Below are 22,316 nucleotides of genomic sequence, written 5' to 3'. Positions count from 1 at the left end.
TTTTCACGATACTGATTCTTCCCATCCATGAGCATGGAATATTCTTCCATTTGTTTGTGTCCTCTCTTATTTCCTTGAGCAGTGGTTTGTAGTTCTCCTTGAAGAGGTCTTTCGCATCCCTTGTAAGTTGTATTCCTAGTTATTTTATTCTGTTAGTAGCAATTGTGAATGGGAGTTCACTCCTGATTTGGCTCTCTGTTTGTCTGTTATTGGTGTATTGGAATGCTTGTGATATTTGCACATTGACTTTGTATCCTGAGATTTTGCTGAAGTTGCTTATCAGCTTAAGGAGATTTTGGACTGAGACAGTGGTGTTTTCTAAATATACAATCGTGTCATCTGTCAACAGAGACAATTTGACTTCCTCTTTTCCTATTTGAATACCTTTATTTCTTTCTCTTTCCTGATTGCCCTGGCCAGAACTTCCAACACTATGTTGAATAGGAGTGGTAAGAGAGGGCATCCTTGACTTTTGCCCATTTTCAAAGGGAATGCTTCCAGTTTTTGCCCATTCAGTATGATATTGGCTGTGTGTTTGTCATAGATAGCTTTTATTGTTTTGATATATGTTCCATCAATACCTAGTTTATTGAGAGTTTTTAGAATGAAGGGCTGTTGAATTTTGTTGAAGGCCTTTTCTGCATCTATTGAGATAATTATATGGTTTTTGTCATGGTTCTGTTTATGTGATGGATTATGTTTATTGACTTGCATATTTGAACCATCCTTGCATCCCAGGGATGAAGCCCATTTGATTATGGTGGATAAGCTTTTTGATGTGCGGCTGGATTCAGTTTGCCAGCATTTTATTGAGGATTTTCACATCGATGTTCATCAGGGATATTGGCATGAAATTTGTGTGTGTGTGTGTTTCTGCCAGATTTTGCTATCAGGATGATGCTGGCCTCATAAAATGAGTTAGGGAGGATTCCCTCTGTTTTTGTCATTTGGAGTAGTTTCAGAAGGAATGGTACCAGTTCCTCTTAGTACCTCTGGTAGAATTTGGCTGTGAATCCATCTGTTCCTGGACTTTTTTTGGTTGGTAGGCTATTAATTGCTGCCTCGATTTGAGAACTTTTTATTGGTCTATTCAGAGATTCAGCTTCTTCCTTGTTTAGAGTTGGGAGGCTGTGTATGTCCAGGAATTTATCCATTTTTCTAGATTTTCTAGTTTATTTGTGTAGAGATGTTTATATATTCTTACGGTAGTTTGTATTTCTGTGGGATCAGTGTTGATATCCTCTTTATTGTTTGTTATTGTGTCTATTTGATTCTTCTCTCTTTTTTTCTTTATTAGTCTGGCTAGCATCTATCTATTTTGTTGGTCTTTTCAAAAAACGAGTTCCTGAATTCATTGATTTTTTGAAGGGTTTTTTGGGTCTCTATCTCCTTCAGTTCTGCTCTGATCTTAGTTATTCCTTGCCTTTTGCTTGCTTTTGAGTTTGTTTGCTCTTGCTTCTCTAGTTCTTTTAATTGTGATGTTAGGGTGTTGATTTTAGATATTTTCTGCTTTCTCTTGTGGGCATTTAGTGCTATAAATTTTCCTCTACACGCTGCTTTAAATGTGTCCCGGAGATTCTGGTATGTTGTTTGTTCTCATTGATTTCAAAGAACATTTTTATTTCTGCCTTAATTTCACTATTTACCCAGTAGTCATTCAGGAGCAGGTTGTTCAGTTTCCATGTAGTTGTGTGGTTTTGAGTGAGTTTCTTAGTCCTGAATTTTAATTTGTTTGCACTGTGGTCAGAGAGACTGTTTTTTATGATTTCCATTCTTTTGCATTTGCTGAGGAGTGTTTTACTTTCAATTATGTGGTCAATTTTAGGAATAGTGCAATGTGGTGCTGGGAAGAATGTATATTCTGTTTTTTGGGGGGTGGAGAGTTCTGTATATGTCTAATAGGTCCACTTGGTCCAGAGCTGAGTTCAAGTCCTGGATATCTTTGTTAATTTTCTGTCTCATTGATCTGTTTAATATTGACAGTGGGTACAGTGGGGTGTTTAAGTCTCCCACCATTATTGTGTGGGAGTCTAAGTCTCTTTGTTGGTCCCTAAGATCTTGCTTTATGAATCTGGGTGCTCCTTTATTGGGTGCATATATATTTAGGATAGTTAACTCTCTTGTTGCTGTGATCCCTTTACCATTATTTAATGGCCTTCTTTGTCTCTTTTGACCTTTGTTGGCTTAAACTCTGTTTTATCAGAGACTAGGATTGCAACCCCTCCTTTTTTTGCTTTCCATTTGTTTGGTAAATCTTCCTCCATCCCTTTATTTTGAGCCTGTGTGTGTCTTTGCACATGAGATGGGTGTCCTGAATACAGCACACCAATGGGTCTTGACTCTTTATCCAAGTTGCCAGTCTGTGTCTTTTAATTGGGGCATTTAGCCCATTTACATTTAAGGTTAATTTTGTTATGTGTGAAATTGATCCTGTCATTCTGATGGTAGCTGGTTATTTTGCTCATTAGTTGATGCAATTTCTTCATAGTGTTGATTGTCTTTACTATTTGGTATGTTTTTGCAGTGCCTGGTACCTGTTGTTCCTTTCCATGTTTTGTGCTCTGTTTAGGAGCTCTTGTAAGGCAGCCCTTGTAGTGGCAAAATCTCTCAGTATTTGCTTGTCTGTAAAGGATTTTATTTCTCTTTTGCTTATGAAACTTAGTTTCACTGGATATGAAATTCTGGGTTGAAAATTCTTTTCTTGAAGTATGTCAAATATTGGCCCCCACTCTCTTCTGGCTTGTAGGGTTTCTGCTGAGAGATCTGCTGTTAGTCTGATGGGTTTCCCTTGGTGGGTAACCTGACCTTTCTGTCTGGCTGCCCTTAATATTTTTTTCTTAATTTCAACCTTGGTGAATCTGACAATTATGTGTATTGGGGTTGCTCTTCTTGAGGAGTATCTTTGTGGTATTCTCTGTATTTTCTGAATTTGAATGTTGGTCTGCCTTGCTAGGTTGGGGAAGTTCTCCTGGATAATATCCTGAAGAGTGTTTTCTAACTTGGTTCCATTCTCCCTATCACTTTCAGGTACACCAATCAAATGTAAATTTGTTTTTTTTTTTCACGTAGTCCCATGTTTCTTGGAGGCTTTGTTTGTTCTTTTCACCTTTTTTCTCTAATCTTGTCTTCTTGCTTTATTTCACTGAGTTGATCTTCAGTCTCTGATATCCTTTCTTCCACTGGATTGATATGGCTATTGATACTTGTGTATGCTTCTTGAAGTTCTCGTGCTGTGTTTGTCAGCTCCATCAGGTCATTTATTTTCTTCTTGAAACTGGTTATTCCCATTGGCAATTCATCTAACCTTTTTTCAAGGCTCTTAGCTTCCTTGGATTGGGTTAGAACATGCTCCTTTAGATTGGAGGAGTTTGTTATTATCCACCTTCTGAAGCCTACTTCTGTCAATTCGTCAAACTCATTCTCTGTCCAGTTTTGTTCTCTTGCTGGTGAGGAGTTGCGATCCTTTGGAGGAGAAGAGGCATTCCGGTTTTTGTAATTTTCAAATTTTTTTGCTGGCTTCTCCCCATCTCTGTGGATTTATCTATCTTTGTTCTTTGCTGTTGATGACCTTCGGATGGGGTCTCTGAGTGGATGTCCTTTTTGTTGATGTTGACACTATTCCTTTCTGTTTGTTAGTTTTGTTTCTAACAGTGAGGCCCCTCTGCTGCAGGTCTTCTGGGGTTTGCTGGAGGTCCACTCCAGACGCTGTTTGCCTGAGTTTCACCAGCAGAGGCTGCAGAACAGCCAAGATTGCTGTCTGTTCCTTCCCCTGGAAGCTTTGTCCCAGAGGGGCACCTGCCAGATCCCAGCCAGAGCTGACAGGCACATTTGAAGTGTCTGTCAGCCCCTACTGGGAGGTGTCTCCCAGTCAGGACACATATGGGTCAGGGAGCCACTTGAGGAGGCAGTCTCTCCCTTATCAGAGCTTGAACACTGTGCTGGGAGATCCACTGCTGTTTTCAGAGTGTCAGGCAGGGATGCTTAAGTCTGCTGATGCTGCGCCCACAGCCACCCCTTCCCCCAGGTGCTCTGTCCCAGGGAGATGGGAGTTTTATCTATAAGTCCCTTACTGGGGTTGCTGCCTTTTTTTCATAGATGCCCTGCCCAGAGAGGAGAACTCTAGAAACGCAGTCTGGCTGCAGTGGCCTTGTTGAGCTGCAGTGGGCTTCACCCAGTTCAGACTTCCTGGGGGCTTTGTTTACACTGTGATGGGTAAACTGCCTAGTCAATCCTCAGCAATGGCAGATGCCCCTCCCCTCACCAAGCTTGAGCATCCCAGGTTGAGCTCAGACTACTGTGCTGGCAGTGAGAATTTCAAGCCAGTGATCTTAGCTTGCTGGGTTCCATGGGGGTGGGACCTACCAAGCCAGACCACTTGGCTCCCTGGCTTCAGCCCCCTTTCTATGGCAGTGAATGGTTCTGTCTTGCTGGCATTCCAGGTGCCACTGGGGTAAGGGGAAAAAAAAGAAAAAAGAAAACTCCTGCAGCTAGTTTGGTGTCTGCCCAAATGGCCACCCAGTTTTGTGCTTGAAATCCAGGGCCCTGGTGGCATAGGCACCAGAGGGAATCTCCTGGTCTGCTGGTTGCAAAGACCACAGAAAAAGTGCAGTATCTGGGCTGGAGTGCACTATTCTTCCCAGTACAGTGGTACACAGTCTCTCACGGCTTCCTTTGGCTAGGGGAGGGCAATCCCTCAACCCCTTGGGCTTCCTGGGTGAGATTGTGCCCCACCCTGCTTTGGCTCACTTTCTCTGGGCTGCACCCACTGTCCAACCAGTCCCAGTGAGATGAACTGGGTACCTCAGCTGGAAATGCAGAAATCACCTGCCTTTTATGTTGATCTCGCTGGGATTTGCAGACTGGAGCTGTTCCTATTCGGCCATCTTGCCAGCCAGGGCCTAAATTTTCACATCGCAGATTTACCACAAATAGGTGACAATGGAAACCAATGTCACTCTCTACTACATTGCCCCAAAAAGGCTGCTCCAGTCATTGATGTTTGAATGTGGTTAAGCATAAACATTTTTATTTTTCCCTTTGCTTTGTTTGCGAAGGCAATCCTAATTCAGTCTGATATCTTTTAGAAAGATTTCTTCTTGTTTTATTAAGAAATAATTATTTTTTTCCATTTAACTAAAAACATATACAATTTCCATCAGAATTGCTGATGTATATTTACCCTTTTAGTCATATAAATTGCAGATAAATATGTGGTTTTTACTTAACTGTTTAAAAGAGAGAAGTCAGTGGTAAAGCCATCTTTAGAGAATTCTTCCAGAAACCCCAGGGAGTAAACCATTAATCTGAACTGCCCCCCGCCCCACAATACCAACCCCTGCACATTCACCCCTCCCTGCTCCAACAGAAGCCTAGTAGAATTCAAGCCTGGAAAAGAATCTGGATCTCCAGACTTTAAATAGCAGGCTCTTTCCAGTTTTACAACATTCCTCTTTAAAAAGTTTCTTAGCTTTTATAAGTCATTGTGAAGTTTGTAGTGCTGATTATTAGCAGGCATCATTTCTACCAAAATGTTTGTACTTCCTTGTTGAGTGAATTTACTGCATGCAGGTCTCTCAGCCTCATTTGCTTTTTAGAGATTCCTCAGACATCCAACCTTGGGCTGCCACCCTTCTTTCAGGGGACTGTACAAAGTTCTATCAGTTCAACTTTGATTGTTTTTCCCTCTTCCAGTAGTTCTTGGTGGACTAGGCATACCAGACTGCTGAGTCCCAAATGGCATATATGGTCAGAAGAAAGGGACACCTGCCAGTGACCTCCTGCTTGTCACTTTCAGGTTCATCTGCATTGGATTTTCCTGAGAAGAGAAGATTTGAAGCTCAGCAGGAGTGGAGTGTGCAGAGTAATTTTATAAAATACATTTTATTAGGCAGGAATGCCCTTAGTTATTAGGAAAAATTAATTCAAGAGATGGATTATCACTAGCCTTTGCCTACTATTGGACTGGGAATTCAAAGAACTAGTTCTAGTCCTTCCTCTGCTACTCATTTACAATACTGTCTTGAGAACCATTTTAACTTCTGCAGGGGTTTCCTTATTTTATAAACTGGGATAATAATGCCCATATTCTTTTCATGTATGGAAACTCATATCCCTGTCAATAAGCCTCCTTTCTCATAGTGGTAGAGGAGGTGGAGTGTGGTCAGTTGTTCAAGACTGAGGATTTTCAGCAGGGTTCAATGGCCATATCTCAAAGATGTAGCAGAGGGACTTTCTATATGAGGTGAGAAAATCCAAAAAATTATTCTAAGGTTTCTTTTCATCTCTACACTCTATGTTTCTGATTGGACTATAGACATGTGGCCTCACTTCACCTTTATTTCCCAAAAATAGGAAAATAAATATTTTCTTAAAAAGCTTTTATTTTTAGCTTCTTGACAGTTTATCACTCTCTCTGTTTTAAGGCACAGTCATCTCTCCCTAGACAACTGCAAGACAACCTTCTAACTGGTTCTACTCTTGCCTCACAAGAAGTCTATTCTCCATGGAGAAGTGCAAGTAATCTCTTAAAAATGTAAATTGGACTCCATCACCCTCCTGCTTAAATCCCTACAATAGCTTCACATAGATTTAAAATAAAATGTGGTGTTTGTTAGGACCTCTGTGAGCAGGTCCTGCCCTGCTTTTCCTGCCATCCACACTGAGGTTCTGTTTGTTCTTGCAACACACCAACCTGTGTCACTGTCTCAAGGCCTTTGCATTGCTGTTTTCTCTGCCTGGAATTCTTTTCCATTCCTGGCTGCCTGATTCTTATCATTCAGGTCTCAGCTTAAATTATTTCCCCTGAGAGGTCTTTTCTGACTGCCCTATTAAAAGTAGTCTTTCATCTGTATCTTTAGCCCTTTTTTATTTCATTATCCTTTATCATTATCTGAGATTATCTGACATAAATTTAAAAATAAATAAATGATAATACATTCAGTAGATTTTTCTTCCCCTAAAATGCAAGCTATATCAGACATGGCCCATGTTGGCCTCCTTCACTACTCTATCTATTCCAGCCACTAGTCATCCAGAATAGATGTTCATTAATGATGTGCTGAAGGCTTTTGTTCATTTTACCATGTTTATTGAGCTCTTACTATGCAGTAGGTGCTGTCCTAGCCATAAGGATCATCAGAAAACAAAGATAAAGCACCTGCCACCATGGATCTTACATTCTATGGGGGTCAATTTAGGGAAGAAATCAGAAAGTATAAATAAATAAACAAGTAAATGTATGTCATGTGGCACTAAAAGCTATGAAGTGAGATAAGACAGAATAAAGAGGTTTGGAGTGTCAAGGGAAGGAGGAGTGTCAAGGTCAAGGAAATTCTCACTCACTATTTGATGAGACACTTGAAGAGAGTAAGAAAGCAACCCCTGAAACAGTGTTCTGGGCAAAGGCCCTTAGTTGAGTGTGCAGCGGGTATGTTGCAGGAATAGAAAAGAGGCTGGTACAGCTGAAGCAGAAGGAATGGGGGAAAGTAGTAGTAGAAGTCAGAGAGGTGGGGGTCAATTCAGATCAAGCAAGCTCTGTTAGGCCATGTGAGGGCTTAGGTTTAACAAAGTTTAATATGGAGCCAGAAGAAAATCTTTGAACCATAAGTGAAATGTAATCTGTCTTACTTCCCAAAAGAGTTATTCTGGTCATTAATAACAGACCTGGGGAGGTGGTGGTGAAAATGAAATACTTAGGAGACCAAGGTAGAGGTGTTCTGTGTCAACGCATATTTCAAGGTAAAGTGAACAGGACTTGCTGATGAATGAAACATGAAGTGGGAGACAGGAATCAAAGGTGATTCCCAGGTTTTGGTATGAGCAGTTAGTAGAATGGAGTTGCCATTTACTGAGAGGGAGAAAGGCTATGGGAAGAGCAAGTCAGAGAGCAGGGGAGATCAGACAGTATGTTTTTATCTCTCTTTTTTCCCCTTCAACTTTTATTATTAGTTCAGGGGTACATGTGGGGGTTTGTTACATAGGTAAATGTGTGCCATGGTGCTTTGCTGCACAGACCACCCCATCATCTAGATACTAAGTCCAGCATCCATTTGCTATTACTATTGATGCTCTTTCTCCTCCCAGTGACAGGCCACAGTGTGTGTTGTTCCCCTCTATGTGTCCATGTGTTCTCATCATTCAGCTCCCATTTATAAGTGAGAACATGTGGTGTTTGGTTTTCTGTTCCTGTGTTAGATTGCTGAGGGTAATGGCTTCTAACTCCAGCCATGTCCCTGCAAAGGACATGATCTCATTCCTTTTATGGCTGCATAGTATTCCATGGTGTATATGTACCATATTTTCTTATTCTGTCTATCATTGATGAGCATTTAGGTTGATTGCATGTCTTTGCTGTTGTGAATAGTGCTGTAATGAACATATGCATGGCTGTATCTTTATAATAGAATGGTGTATATTCCTTTGGGTATATACCCAGTAATGGAATTGCTGGGTCTAAGTCTTTGAGGAGACATTCATTGTCTCAATGGTTAGATGAATTTTCACTCCCACAAAAAGCATTTTTTATTCTCCACATCATGCCAGCATCTGTTTTTGACTTTTTAGTAACAGGCATTCTGACTGGTGTGAGATGATACCTCATTGTGGTTTTGATTTGCATTGCTTTAAGGATCAATGATGTTGAGCTTCTTTTTTTGGTGTTTGTTGGCAAATGCATATCCTCTTTTAAGAAGTGTCTGTTCATGTCTTTTGCACCCTTTTTTATGGGGTTGTTTGTTTGTTTTTTTTTCCTGTAAATTTGTTTAAGTTCCTTGTACTCTGGATGCTAGAACTTTGTCAGATGGATACACTGCAAAAGTTTTCTTCCATTCTGTAGGCTGTCCATTCACTATAATGGAGTTTCTTTCACTGTACAGAAACTCTTTAGTTTAATTAGATCCCATTTGTCAATTTTTGCTTTTGTTGCAGTTGTTTTTGTCATCTCCCATCATGAAATATTTTCCCATGCCTATTTCCTGAATGGTATTGCCTAGATTTTCTTCTAGGGTTTTTATAGTTTTGGGTTTTACATTTAAGTCTTTAATCTATCTTGGGTTAATTTTTGTATATGGTGTAAGGAATGGGTACATTTCAATTTTCTGTATATGGCTAGCCAGCTCTTCCAGCACCATTTATTAAAAAAGGAGTCCTTTCCCCATTGCTTTTTTTGGTAAGGTTTGTGGAAGATCAGATGGTTGTACATGTACAGTTTTATTTCTGAACTCTCTGTTCTGTTCCATTGGTCTATGTGTCTGTTCTTGTACCAGTGCCATGCTGTTTTCGTTACTGTAGTCCTGTAGTACCGTTTGAAGTTGGGGAGCGTAATGCCTCTAGCATTGTTCTTTTTGCTTAGAATTGTTTGGCTATTTGGGCTCTTTTTTTTGGTTTCATATGAATTTTAAAATAGTTTTTGATAATTCTGTGGAGAATGTCAATGGTAGTTTAACGGGAATAGCATTGAAATTACTTTGGGCAGTATGGCCATTTTCATGATATTGATTCTTCCTATCCATGAGCATGAAGTGTTTCTCTGTGTCCTCTCTGATTTCTTTGAGCAGTGGTTTGTAGTTCTACTTGAAGAGGTCTTTCACTTTTCTTGTTAGCCATATTCCTAAGTATTTTATTCTTTTTGTAGCAATCGTGAATGGGAGTTCATTGATGATTTGGCTCTCTGCTTGTCTGTTGTTGGTGTATAGGAATGCCAGTGATTTTTGCCCATTAATTTTGTATCCTGAGACTTCGCTGAAGTTACTTATCAGCTTAAGAAGCTTTTGGGCTGAGATGATGAAGTTTTCTAGTTATAGGATCACGTCAACATGTCATCTACAAACAAAGATAATTTGTCTTCCTCTCTTCCTATTTGAATATCCTTTATTTCTTTCTCTTGCCTGATTGCCCTGGCCAGAAGTTTTAATACTACGTTGAATAGGAGTGATAAGAGAGGACATGGTTGTCTTGTGCTGGTTTTCAAGGGGAATGCTTGAAGCTTTCGCCCATTCAGTATGATATTGGCTGTAGGTTTTTAATATATGGCTCTTATAATTTTGAGGTATGTTTCTACAATACCTAGTTTATTGAGAGTGAACATGAAGGGATATTATATTTTATTGAAGGCCTTTTCTGCATCTATTGAGATAAACATGTAGTTTTTATCTCTAGTTCTGTTACTGTGATTAACCACATTTATTGATTTCCATATGTTGAACCAACCTTGCAACCCAGGGATGAAGCCAACTTGATCATAGTGGATAAGCCTTTTGATGTGCTGCTGCATTTGGTTTGCTAGTGTTTCATTGAGGATTATTTTCATCAATGTTCATCAAGTATACTGACCTGAAGTTTTTTTGTTGTTGTTGCATTTCTGCCAGATTTTGGTATCAGGATGATGCTAGCCTCATAGAATGAGTTAGGGAGGAATCTGTCCTTTGTGATTTTTTGTGATAGTTTCAATAGAAATGGTACCAGTTCTTCTTTGTAGCTCTGTTAGAGTTCAACTGTGAATCCATTGGGTCCTGGGCTTTTTTGGTTGATGGGCTATTTATTATTGCCTCAATTTCAGAACTTGTTATTGGTCAATTCAGGGATTCAATTTCTTCCTTGTTCAGTCTTGGAAGGGTGTATGTGTTCAGGGATTTATCAATTTCTGCTAGATTTTCTTGTTTATGCACATAGAGATGTTTAATAATATTCTCTGATGGTTGTTTATATTTCTGTGGGGTCAGTGGTGATATCACCCTTATCATTTCTGATTCTGTTTATTGATTCTTCTCTCTCTTTTCTTCTTTATAAGTTTAGCTAGTGGTCTATTTTATTTTATTCAAAAAACCAGACTCTGGATTCGTGGATCTTTTGAGTGGTATTTTGTATCTCAATCTCCTTCAGTTCAACTCTGATTTTACTTATTTCTTGTCTTCCTCTAGGTTTGAGATTTTTTTGCTCTTGTTTCTTTACTTCTTTCAGTTGGGATGTTAGGTTTGTTAACTTGAGATCTTCTTAGCTTTTTGATGTGGGCATTTAGTGCTATAAATTTACCTCTTAACACTGCTTTAGCTGCATCCCAGAGATTCTGCTACGTTGTCTCTTTGTTCTCATTAGTTTCAAATGACTTCTTGATTTCTGCATTAATTTCATTATTTACCCAAGAGTCATTCAGGAGTAGGTTGTTCAATTTCCATGTAGTTGTGTGGTTTTGAGCAAATTTCTTAATCTTGAGTTCTAATTTGATGATGTTGTGGTCTGAGAGACTGTTTGCTATAATTTCAGTTTTTTGCATTTGCTGAGTGTTTTACTTTCAATCATGTGACCAATGTTGGAGTAAATGCTGTGTAGCAATAGGAAGAATGTATATTCTGTTGCTTTTGGGTGGAGAGTTCTGTAAATGTCTATCAGGTCTGCTTGATCCAGTGCTGAGTTCCAGTCCTGAATATCTTTGTTAATTTTCTGTCCCAATAATCTGTCTAATATTGTCAGTGGGGTGTTAAAATCTCCCACTATTATTGTGTGGAAGTCTGTGTCTCTTTTTTGGTCTCTAAGTACTTGCTTTATGAATCTGGGTGCTCCTGTATTGGATACATATATATTTAGGATAGTTAGCTCTTCATGTTGAACTGAACTCTTTACCATTACGTAATGCCCTTTTTTCATTTTTGATCCTTGTTGGTTTAAAGTCTGTTTTGTTAGTAACTAGGGTTGTAACCCCTGCTTTCTTTTTCCATTTGCTTGGTAAATTTTTATCCATCCCTTTATTTTGAGCCTTTTTGTGTCTTTCCATGTGAGATGGGTCTCTTGAACACAGCATACTGACAGGTCTTGGCTTTTTATCCAGTTTGCCATTCTGTGTCTTTTAATTGGGGCATTTAGCCCATTTGCACTTAAGGTTAGTATTGTTATGTGTATGTTTGATCCTGTCATCATGATGCTAGCTGGTTATTTTGCAGACTTGTTTATGTGGTTGTTTCATGGTGTCACTAGTCTGTGTACTTCAGTGTATTTTTGCTGTGGCCGGTAATTGTTTTTCCTTTCCATATTTAATGCTTCCTTCAGGAGCTCTTGCAAGGCTGGCCTGGTGGTGATGAATTCCCTTCGCAATTGCTTGTCTGAAAAGGATCTTATTTCTATATTACTCTTGTAGCTTAGTTTCACCAGATATGAAATTCTGGGTTGGAAATTAAGAATGCTTAATATTGGCCCTCAATCTTTTCTGACTTGTAGGGTTTCCACTGAGAGTTCTGCTGTTAGTCTGATGTATTTCCCTTTGTAGGTAACCTGGCCTTTCTCTGGCTGCCCTTACCATTTTTTTTTTTCCATTTTGACATTGGACAGTCTGATGATTATGTGTCTTGGGGTTCATCTTCTCATGGGGTATCTTACTGGCATTCTCTGCGTTCCCTGAATTTGAATGTTGGCCTCTCTTGCTAGGTTGGGGAAGTTCTCCTGAATGATGTCCTAAAGTATGTTTTCCAACTTGGTTCCATTCTCCTCATCTTTTTCAGGTACTCTAATTAGTTGTAAATTTGGTCTTTTTACATAATACCATATTTCTTGGAGGTTTTGTTCATTTTCTTTTCATTCTTTTTTCTCCATTCTTGTCTTCCTGTCTTATTTCAGAAAGATAGTCTTTAAGCTCTGAGATTCTTTCATCTGCTTGGTCTGTTCTGCTATTGATACTTGTGATTGCATTGTGAAGTTATCATGTTGTGTTTTTCAGCTCCATTGGATTAGTTATGTTCCACTCTAAGCTGGCTGTTCTGGCTATCAGCTTCTGTATTGTTTTACCATAACTCTTATTTGCATTGGGTTACAACATGTTCCTTTAGCTCAGCAAAGTTCTTTATCGCCACCTTCTGAAGCCTACTTCTATCAATTCAGCCATCTCAGCCTCAGTCCAGTTCTGTGCCCTTGCTGGAGAGGTGTTGTGGTCATTTGGAGGAGAAGAAGCACTCTGGCTTTTTCAGTTTTCAGTATTTTGGGGTTGACTTTTTCTCATATTTGCGGGCTTATCTACCTTTGATCTTTGAGATTGCTGACCTTTGAATGAGGTCTTTGTGGTGTCTGTTTTGTTGGTGTTGTTCTTGTTTTCTTTTTGTTTGTTTTTCTTTTAACTTTCAGCCTATTCTACTGTAGGGTTGCTGTGATTATTGGGGGTCTGCTCCAGACCCCCAAAGTAGTTGCCTCAGTTTTTCCCATACCTTGAGGTATCACTAGTAAATACTGTGAAACAGCAAAGATGGCAGCCAGCTTATTCCTCTGGAAGCTCCATCCCAGGGGTGTACTGACAAGTTGCTGGCCTAAACATACCTGTACAAGGTGGCTGGAGACTGCTGTTCAGAGGTCTCATCCAGTCAGGAGGAATGGTATCAGAGACCTGCTTAAATAAGTAGTCTGGTTGCTTTTTGGTAGAGCAGGTGTGCTATGTTGGGGGACAACCTTTCTTCATCTAGACTGTTTGTATTCTCCAAAGCCAGAAGGCTGTAACAGCTGACTCTACTGAGCCACAGAGATGGTGGCTGACCTTCCCTTCAGGAGCTCTGTCCCAGGAATAGTTCAGAGCTCTGTCTATAGAACCCTTGCTGGAGTGGCTGAAGTCCCCACAAGGAGGTCCTGCCCAATGAGGAGGAATGGATCAGGGTCCTGCTTAAAGAAGCAGTCTAGTGGGAGACCCTTCCTCATCTGAATTGTTTGTATTCTTTAAAGCCAGCAGACTGGAACAGCTGAGTCTACTGAGCTGCAGAGATGGCAGCAGCCCCACTGCCTGGGAACTTGGATCCATCTCAGACAGATTCCAGCCTGTTGCCATTTGCTGGCTGGAATTACAAGCCAGTGGATCTTAACTTGTGAGATGCCATGAAAATGGGGGCTGCAGAAGGATGCTGTTTTGCTCCCTGGATTCAGGTCCCTTCCTCAGGATATGAATGGATGGGTTTCTTGCCTTGCCAGAGATCATGGGACCAGAGTATGTAAACCTCCTGGGTCTCTGTGTGTGCCTGAGTGGCTGCTTTGACAAGACTCCACACAGCTTTATGTATCTGACCCAAGGCCCTGGTGGCATGGACTCACAAGGGGATCTCCTGATCCATAGGTTGCAAAGATCCATGGGAGAAGTGTGGTTGCCCAAGGTAGGGTTTGCACTATCACTCACTGCTTCCCTTGTTTGGGGGTGGGGGTTTCTTTGGCTCTGTGCTGCTCCCAGGTGGGCCATCACCACTGCTAACTTTGCTTCATTCTCCGTGCATTGAGTTGTTTGCCTAGTCAGTCTCAATGTGAAAACCTGCATATTTCAGTTGAGGGTGTTAAATTCCCTTACCCCTTTCCATTTCTCTCCGTGAGTGCTGAGAAATGCAGCTGCTTCTCATCAGCCACCTTGGATGGATGGACAGTAGTTTTTGTTTTTTAAATGACAACATTTTAAGGTTATTTAATTGATAGGCTTTAATTAATAATGGATCATTATTTTCAAGATGATCAATTCTAGACCTTTAGGAGGACCTTCTATTGAGCATCTCCCTGTCTTTATTTGAAAATTATTCCTCAAGAGAACCCACACATTCTCTGAAGGAAGCAGATTGCTCCTGGAGGTCCCAGGAGACACCCCAAATACTGTGAGTGTCCAAACTGTGGAAGTGGGAAGAGTAGATTATCTTCACCAAAACATACACCCCCACTGGGGAACCTGAAGGTCTAAATTAAAGGAGAAGATTCTGACCTTACCTGAAGCTGAGTCAATTTAGAGAGCCAAGTGAAATACAGCAGTAGAGGAAGCAGCAGGAAAATCCCTGTGGGCTCACTGGATTCCCTACTAAGACATTTCTGCCTCCCATCACAGGCATCCTTGAGGAGGGCTGCTGGAGGCACTGAGAAAATGCCACAGGGAGAAGAAAACCTCCAATTGAAATTTGTAGCAATTTGAACTGATTGAGAAGTCTCTTGGGCAGAACTTGGGAAACGGCATGAATCTGGTGTGCAGACTCCACACGTCGGGGAAGAAGGAAAGCCCTACTTATTTTTGAAGCTGGGAGGTGGGTAGCCTGGGGCAGGTTCTCAGCCCTGTTCACCCACTGCCTGGAAACAGGGTGCTGTTGAGGGGAGCAAGGTGGAAGGGAGACCGGCCCTTTGGGTTGTGTGAAAGCTGGGTGAGGATGGTGACTGCTGGCTTTCCCCCATTTCCCTTACAACCTGCATGACACAGCAAAGGCAGCCATAAGCCTCCTAGGAACATAACTCCATTGACCTGAGACCCACACCCCCATCCCCCACAGCAGCCACAGCAAGGCCCGCCCAAGTAGAGTGTAAGCTCAGACATGCCTAGCCCTGCCCCCACCTAATGGTCATCCTCTACTCACCCTGGTAACTCAAAGGGCATATACTCTTAGGAGTTCTAGGGCCCCACCCACCACCTGTTCCTCCCCATACTACCACAGCTGATGCTTTCTTGAAAGTGCCATCTCCCAGCAGGAGGCCAACCAGCACAAAAATAGTGTGTTAATCAACCAAAGCTAAGGACCCTCACAGAGTCCATTTCACTCCCCTGCCAACTCCACTGGAGCAGATGCTAGTATCCATGGCTGAGAGACCCACAGATGGTTTACATCAAAGGACTCTGTGCAGACAACCCCAGTACCAGCTCAGAGCCTGGATGATTTGCTTGTTGGCTAGACCCAGAAGAGAGAGAACAATTACTACAGCTTGGCTTTCAGGAAGCCACATGCCTAGGAAAAGGGGGAGAATACTACATCAAGGAAACACCCTGTGTGACAGAAGGAACTGAACAGCAGCCTTGAGCCCTAGACCCTTCCTCTGACAGAGCCTACCCAAATGAGAAGAAACCAGAAAACCAGCTCTGGTAATATGACAAAACTAGGTTCTTTGACAGCTCCCAAAAATTACATTAGGTTTTCAGCAGTCAACCCAAACTGAGAATAAATCCCTGATCTACCTGAAAAAGAATTCAGAAGGTTAGTTATCAAGCTAATTAGGGAGGCACCAGGGAAAGGCGAAGCCCAATGTAAAGAAACCCAGAAAAGGACACAAGAAGTGAAGGGAGAAATATTCAATGAATATTGAATGAATCCCTATAAGCTAGAAGGGATTGGGGTCCTATCTTTAGCCTCCTCCAAAACAACAATTATCCGTCCAGAATTTTGTACCCAAAAAAACTAAGCTTCAGAAGTGAAGGAAAGATAGTATTTTTCAGACAAACAAACACTGAAAGAATTTGCCACTATCATGCCAGCACTACAAGAACTGCTAAAAGAAACTCTAAGGCCAGGCACGATGGCTCACACCTGCAATTCCAGCACTTTCGGAGGCTGAGGTGGGCGGATCACAAGGTCAGGAGATTGGGACCATCCTGGCTAACATGGTGAAACCCCATCTCTACTAAAAAGACAAAAAACTAGCCGGGCATGGTGGCAGGCGCCTGCAGTCCCAGCTACTTGGGAGGCTGAGGCAGGAGAATGGCATGAACCCGGAAGGCGGAGCTTGTAGTGAGCCAATATCACGCCACTGCACTCCAGCCTCAGTGACAGAGCGAGACTCCGTCTCAAAACAAAACAAAACAAAACAAACAAAGAAACTCTAAATCCCAGAAACACATCAAAACAGAACTTCTTTAAAGCATAAATCTCACAGGACCTAGAAAACACAAATACAATTTTAAAAAAAACAAGGTATACAGGCAAAAATAGCATTATGAATGAAATGGTACTTCACAAATCAATACTAACATTGAATGTAAATGAGTCAACTGCTCCACATAAAAGATACCTAATTACTAAATGGATAAGAATTCACCAACCATTTATCTGTTGCCTTCAAGAGACACAACTAACACATAAGGACTCACATAAACTTAAGGTAAAGGGATGGAAAAAGATATTCCATGCAAAGGAACACCAAAATTGAGCAGGGGTAGTTATTCTTTTTTTTTTTTTTTTTTTTTTTTGAGATGTAGTCTCGCTCTGTCCCTCAGGCTGGAGTGCAGTGGTGCCATCTCGGCTCACTGCAAGCTCCACTTCCCGGGTCCACGCCATTCTCCTGCCTCAGTCTCCTGAGTAGCTGGGACTACAGGTGCCCGCCACCACGCCCAGCTAATTTTTTGTATTTTTAGTAGAGATGGGGTTTCACCATGTTAGCCAGGAGAGCAGAAGTAGTTATTCTTATATCAGACAAAACAAACTTTAAAGCAACAACAGTTAAAAAGGACAAAGAAGGTCATTATACAATGATAAAAGGACTTGTCCAACAGCAAAATATCACAATCCTAAATATATATGCACTTAATACTGGAGCTCTCAAATTTATCAAACAATTACTAATAGACCTAAGAAATGAGATAGACAGCAACACAATACTAGCGGGGGACTTCAGTACTCCACTGAAAGCACTAGACAGGTCATCAAGACAGAAAGTCAACAAAGAAAATGGATTTAAAGTATACCCTGGAACAAATGGACTTAACAGATATTTACAGAACATTCTATCCAACAACTGCAGAATATACCTTCTATTAAACAGCACATGGAACTTTCTCCAAGACAAACCATATGATAGACCACAAAACCAGCCTCAGTAAATTCAAGAATATTGAAATTATATCAAGCACTGTGTCAGACAACAGTGGAATAAAGCTGGAAATCAACTCCAAACGGAACATTCACAACCATGTAAATATATGGAAATTAAATAACCTGCTCCTGAATGATCAGTGGGTCAAAAACAAAATCAAAATGGAAATTTAAAAATTCTCCAAGAGGAATTCTTAATAAGGAATTCTTAAGAGGAAAGTTCATGGCCCTAAATGCCTACATCAAAAAGTCTGAAGGAGCACAAACAATCTAAGGTCACACCTCAAGGAACTACAGAAACAAGAACAAACCAAACCCAAACCCAGCAGAAGAAAGGAAATAACAAAGATCAGAGCAGAAATAAATGAAATGGAAACAAAAACAATACAAAAGATAAGTGAAACAAAAAGCTAGTTCTTTGAAAAGTAAATGAAATTGATAGACCATTAGCAAGATTAACCAAGAATAGAGACAAAATCCAAATAAGCTCAATTAGAAACAAAATGGGAGACATTACAGCGGACACCACAGAAATACAAAGATTATCCAAGGCTACTATGAACACTTTTATGCACATAAACTAGAAAACCTAGAGGAGATAGTTAAATTCTTAGAAAGATACAAGCTTCCTAGCTTAAATCAGGATGAGTTAGATATTCTGAACAGACCAATAACAAGCAGTGAGATTGAAATGGTGATTAAAAAATTACCAACAAAAAAAATCCAAGACAAGATAGATTCACAGTAGAATTCTACCAGACTTTCAAAGAAGAATTGGTATCAAGGACTTAAGTCTAAGACCTGAATCTATAAAAATTCTAGAAGACAACATTGAAAAACCCCTTCTAGACACTGGCTTGGGCAAGGATTTCATGACCAAGAACCCAAAAGCAAATGCAATAAGAACAAAGATAAATAGCTGAGACTTCATTAAACTAAAAAGCTTTTGCACAGCTAAAGGAGCAGTCAGAAGAGTAAACAGACAACCCACAGAGTGGGAGAATATCTTCACAATCTATACCTCTGACAAAGGAGTAATGTCCAGAATCTACAACGAGCTCAAATGAATTAGCAAGGAAAAAAAAACAAAGAATCCCATCAAAAAGTGGGCTAAGGACATGGATAGACAATTCTCAAAAGAAGATATACAAATGGCCAACAAATATATGAAAAAATCCTCAACATCTATAATGATCAGGGAAATGCAAGTCAAAACCACAATGCAATACCAGCTTACTCCTGCAAGAATGGCCATAATAAAAAAAATCAAAAACAATAGATGTTGGTGTGGATGCGATGAAGAGGGAACACTTCTACACTGCTGCTGGGAACGTAAACTAGTACAACCACTATGGAAAACAGTGTGGAGATTCCTCAAAAAACTAAAAGCAGAACTACCATTTGATCTAGCAATCCCACTACTGGGTATCTACCCAGACAAAAAGAAGTCACTATATGAAAAAGATACGTGCACAGGCATGTTTATAGCAGCACAATTTGCAATTGCAAAAACGTGGAACCAACCCAAGTGCCCATCAATTAATGAGTGGATAAGGAAACTGCGATATACAGATATATATATATGATGGAATACTACTCAGCCATAAAAAGGAATGACTTAATGGCATTTGCAGCGACCTGAATGAGATTGGAAGCTATTATGCTAAATGAAGTAACTCAGGAATGGAAAACCAAACATTGTATGTTGTCACTCACATGTGGGAGCTAAGCTATGAGGATGCAAAGGCATAAGAAAGACACAGTGGTCTTTGGGGACTAAGGGGGAAAGGGGGCGAGGGATAAGAACACCACAAATTGGGTGCAGTGTATACTGCTCGGGTGATGGGTGCACCAAAATCTCACAAACCACCACCAAAGAACTTACACATGTAACTAAACAACACCTGTTCCCCAATAACCTATGGAATTAAAAAATTAAAAAAAAAACAGTTTGAAAACCATAGGCATATTTTATTACCTTACAGTTTTATTCAGAAAGACTCGTTGTCTTTGCATAATTTATTTTTTAATTGTATCATAAAATACATAAACTCCATATTTTCTCCTACTCTGACGGTTATTGTATCCATTTTCTTATGCTGTTTTATGGTTCCTGCTTTGTTTCATGAAGACTCTTTTTTTTTTTTTTTTTGAGACAGAGTCTCACTCTGTTGCCCAGGCTGAAGTACAATGGCATGATCTCAGCTCACTGCAATCTCCGCCTCCCGGCTTCAAGCGATTCTCCTGCCTCAGCTTCCTGAGTAGCTGGGATTACAGGCGCCTGCCACCACGCCCGGCTAATTTTTGTATTTTTATTAGAGACTGTGTTTCACCATGCTGGCCAGGCTGGTCTTGAACTCCCGACCTCAGGCGATCCGCCCGCCTTGGCCTCCCAAAGTGCTGGGATTACAGGCATGAGCCACCGCGCCCGGCGTTATGAAGACTCTAACTTTTTAGGGATTCAATTAGACTAGTTCTTAAATTATAGCACCTGATTCAAATATTTAAAACTGTTTTGGGGAAGGAAGATATTTCAGCATACATGGTACTAAAGCATCTAACAGCAGATTATGTTGTTTCTTTTTTCTTAAAGTTTGTGTTTTTAAGTGATAAATATTATAAAATGTAAATAAGTAAAATTAGAAAAAATCAAAAGTACCTAAAAAATATTAAAATATTCTTAATAAAATTCAACTATTTTCAAATGTGAACAAAAATAATAATTCTTAATTTTAGGATGGGTATGGTGGCTCATGCCTATAATCCCAGCACTTTGTGAAGCTGAGGTGGGAGGATCACTTGAGCCCAGGAGTTTTAAACCAGCATGGGAAACGTAGTGAGACCTCATCTCCATAAAAATATTTAAAACAAATTAGCTGTGCATTAGCTAGGATGTATACCTATAGTCCTAGCTATTAGGGAAGCTGAAGGAAGAGGATCACTTGAGCCCAGGAGTTCAAGGCTGAAGTAAGCTATGATCGCACCACTGCACTCCAGTCTGGGTGATAAAGCAAGACTCTGTGTCAAAATTTTAAAATTTCTTAAAGAGTGTTTGTGTGTGTGTGTGTGTGTGTGTGTTATGGAGTGTACGTAAATGGCTGGAGGACGTGAATAAGTCAATAATTGCTAGAAGAAGCCTACTTTTGACATGTTTGCTACCTGAGATGGCCCACTCTCCCTTCTCCCCACCTCATTTTAGATACTAGAAAACCAAAGCCCAGAGACTTGAGGTGGTTTGTTTGAGGCCAAACAACTAGTGAGTATAGAGGCAGCCCTGGAACAAAGACGTCTGTTTCCTTTGGCCTGTGTCTCTTCTGCAATATGACGCTAAGTCTCCAATGTCACATCTAATTACAGCAACTGGCATTTCTTGAAGAGCAAGGATTAGAAAAAGGTTGAATAGAAATATACACATTCTTAAAAATCATTGTGTCTTCAGAAATATTTGAAATTTTACAAAAGCCAGATAGAGAGAAAGGGAAGGCAGAATGAATGTTTACAGTCACAAGATGGGAAACACTAAGCATTTGCCTATAACCTAGCACAAAAACTTGAGCATTTATTTCTTCTTTATGGCTGTAAAGCAGCAGGAAGATACAAGCTGTTCCATTCAGAAACCACAGAAAAATGCTTCTGTGATCTGGAGCTGCCTGTAGCATATGGAACACATTCTTTGGATTTAATATGCAAACATTCAACAGACTATCTTTCCCTCCCAGTCTCTGCACATAAGCAGTGGGCCTTGCTCAAGGACTGGCTGACTGGTGCTTGATTTGGGGAAGGAATGCTGAATCTGCACCCCTTTCCCCCCAGCAGAGGAGTTTTTGCTTTGCGAAGCTGTGAAAGGTCAATAGAAAAATTGGCAAGCGTAGCACTCTCCTTGGATGTTTAAGGTTGGAAAATGAATGATATAAATGTCTAATTAGAGAAGAAAGACACTTCCACATTTAATCATGCTGGGGGCTCTGTCGCACTCCATCTCATTATCACTTCTGCTACCTACAGTCTTCCCTGACACTTCTCCTATTACTTTCCATCAGCCATGCCAGTCCCTGCACTTGAGCAGCTGAGCTGCGCTTTGCTGCAGGCTGCCTTTGATATAGAGGTGACACAAGGACCAAAGCCCTGGTTCAAGCTTCTTTTGTGTTTCATGGGAAAAAGCCACCAATTCAAATACAGTCAAGGATCATGATCAGACTTTTGGCTCTGCTAACTTCAGCTCTAGGAAATTCCCTACTTAAAAGACAGACTAAAGTGTTCATGTAGACATCTATAGAAAATACCGAGCTGTCATCTTCCAGGGAGCCGTGATTTTCAAGGCAAATTAACTACCAGCATTTTGATGAATTTCAGCTCTGAGCTTTTCCTATTGTGCATGGGAACTTAAGAGTACTACCCTTGGGATTTTAACAGCAAATATATGAACACTCAGCAACTGTTTATAATTCCCAGTTCCATAGGAGTAAAACATCAGGGAAGAGGATAAAACGGAAACAAAGACATAGTCCTAAGTTCAAAAGTACTAGGACTTTTTTTGTTTTTTGTTTTGTTTGTTTTTTGTTTTTTTGATCTTGGCTGATCACCAACTCTCTCACTTGTTTGAGAAAAGAAATCTTAGTTTTCTCACATAGCAGGGTAAAAAACAAAGTACAATTAACAGTGGAGGGTTCACATTTGGTTAAGGGCTTTTCAGGCCAAATAGGCGACATTGTCTTCTGCATTCTAAAAACTTTCCCTATAATTCAAAGGGAAAAGGAT

Source organism: Homo sapiens, chromosome 5 (genome assembly GCF_000001405.40).
Source record: "Homo sapiens chromosome 5, GRCh38.p14 Primary Assembly".
Taxonomy (NCBI): domain Eukaryota; kingdom Metazoa; phylum Chordata; class Mammalia; order Primates; family Hominidae; genus Homo; species Homo sapiens.
This window is presented reverse-complemented; position numbering follows the sequence as displayed.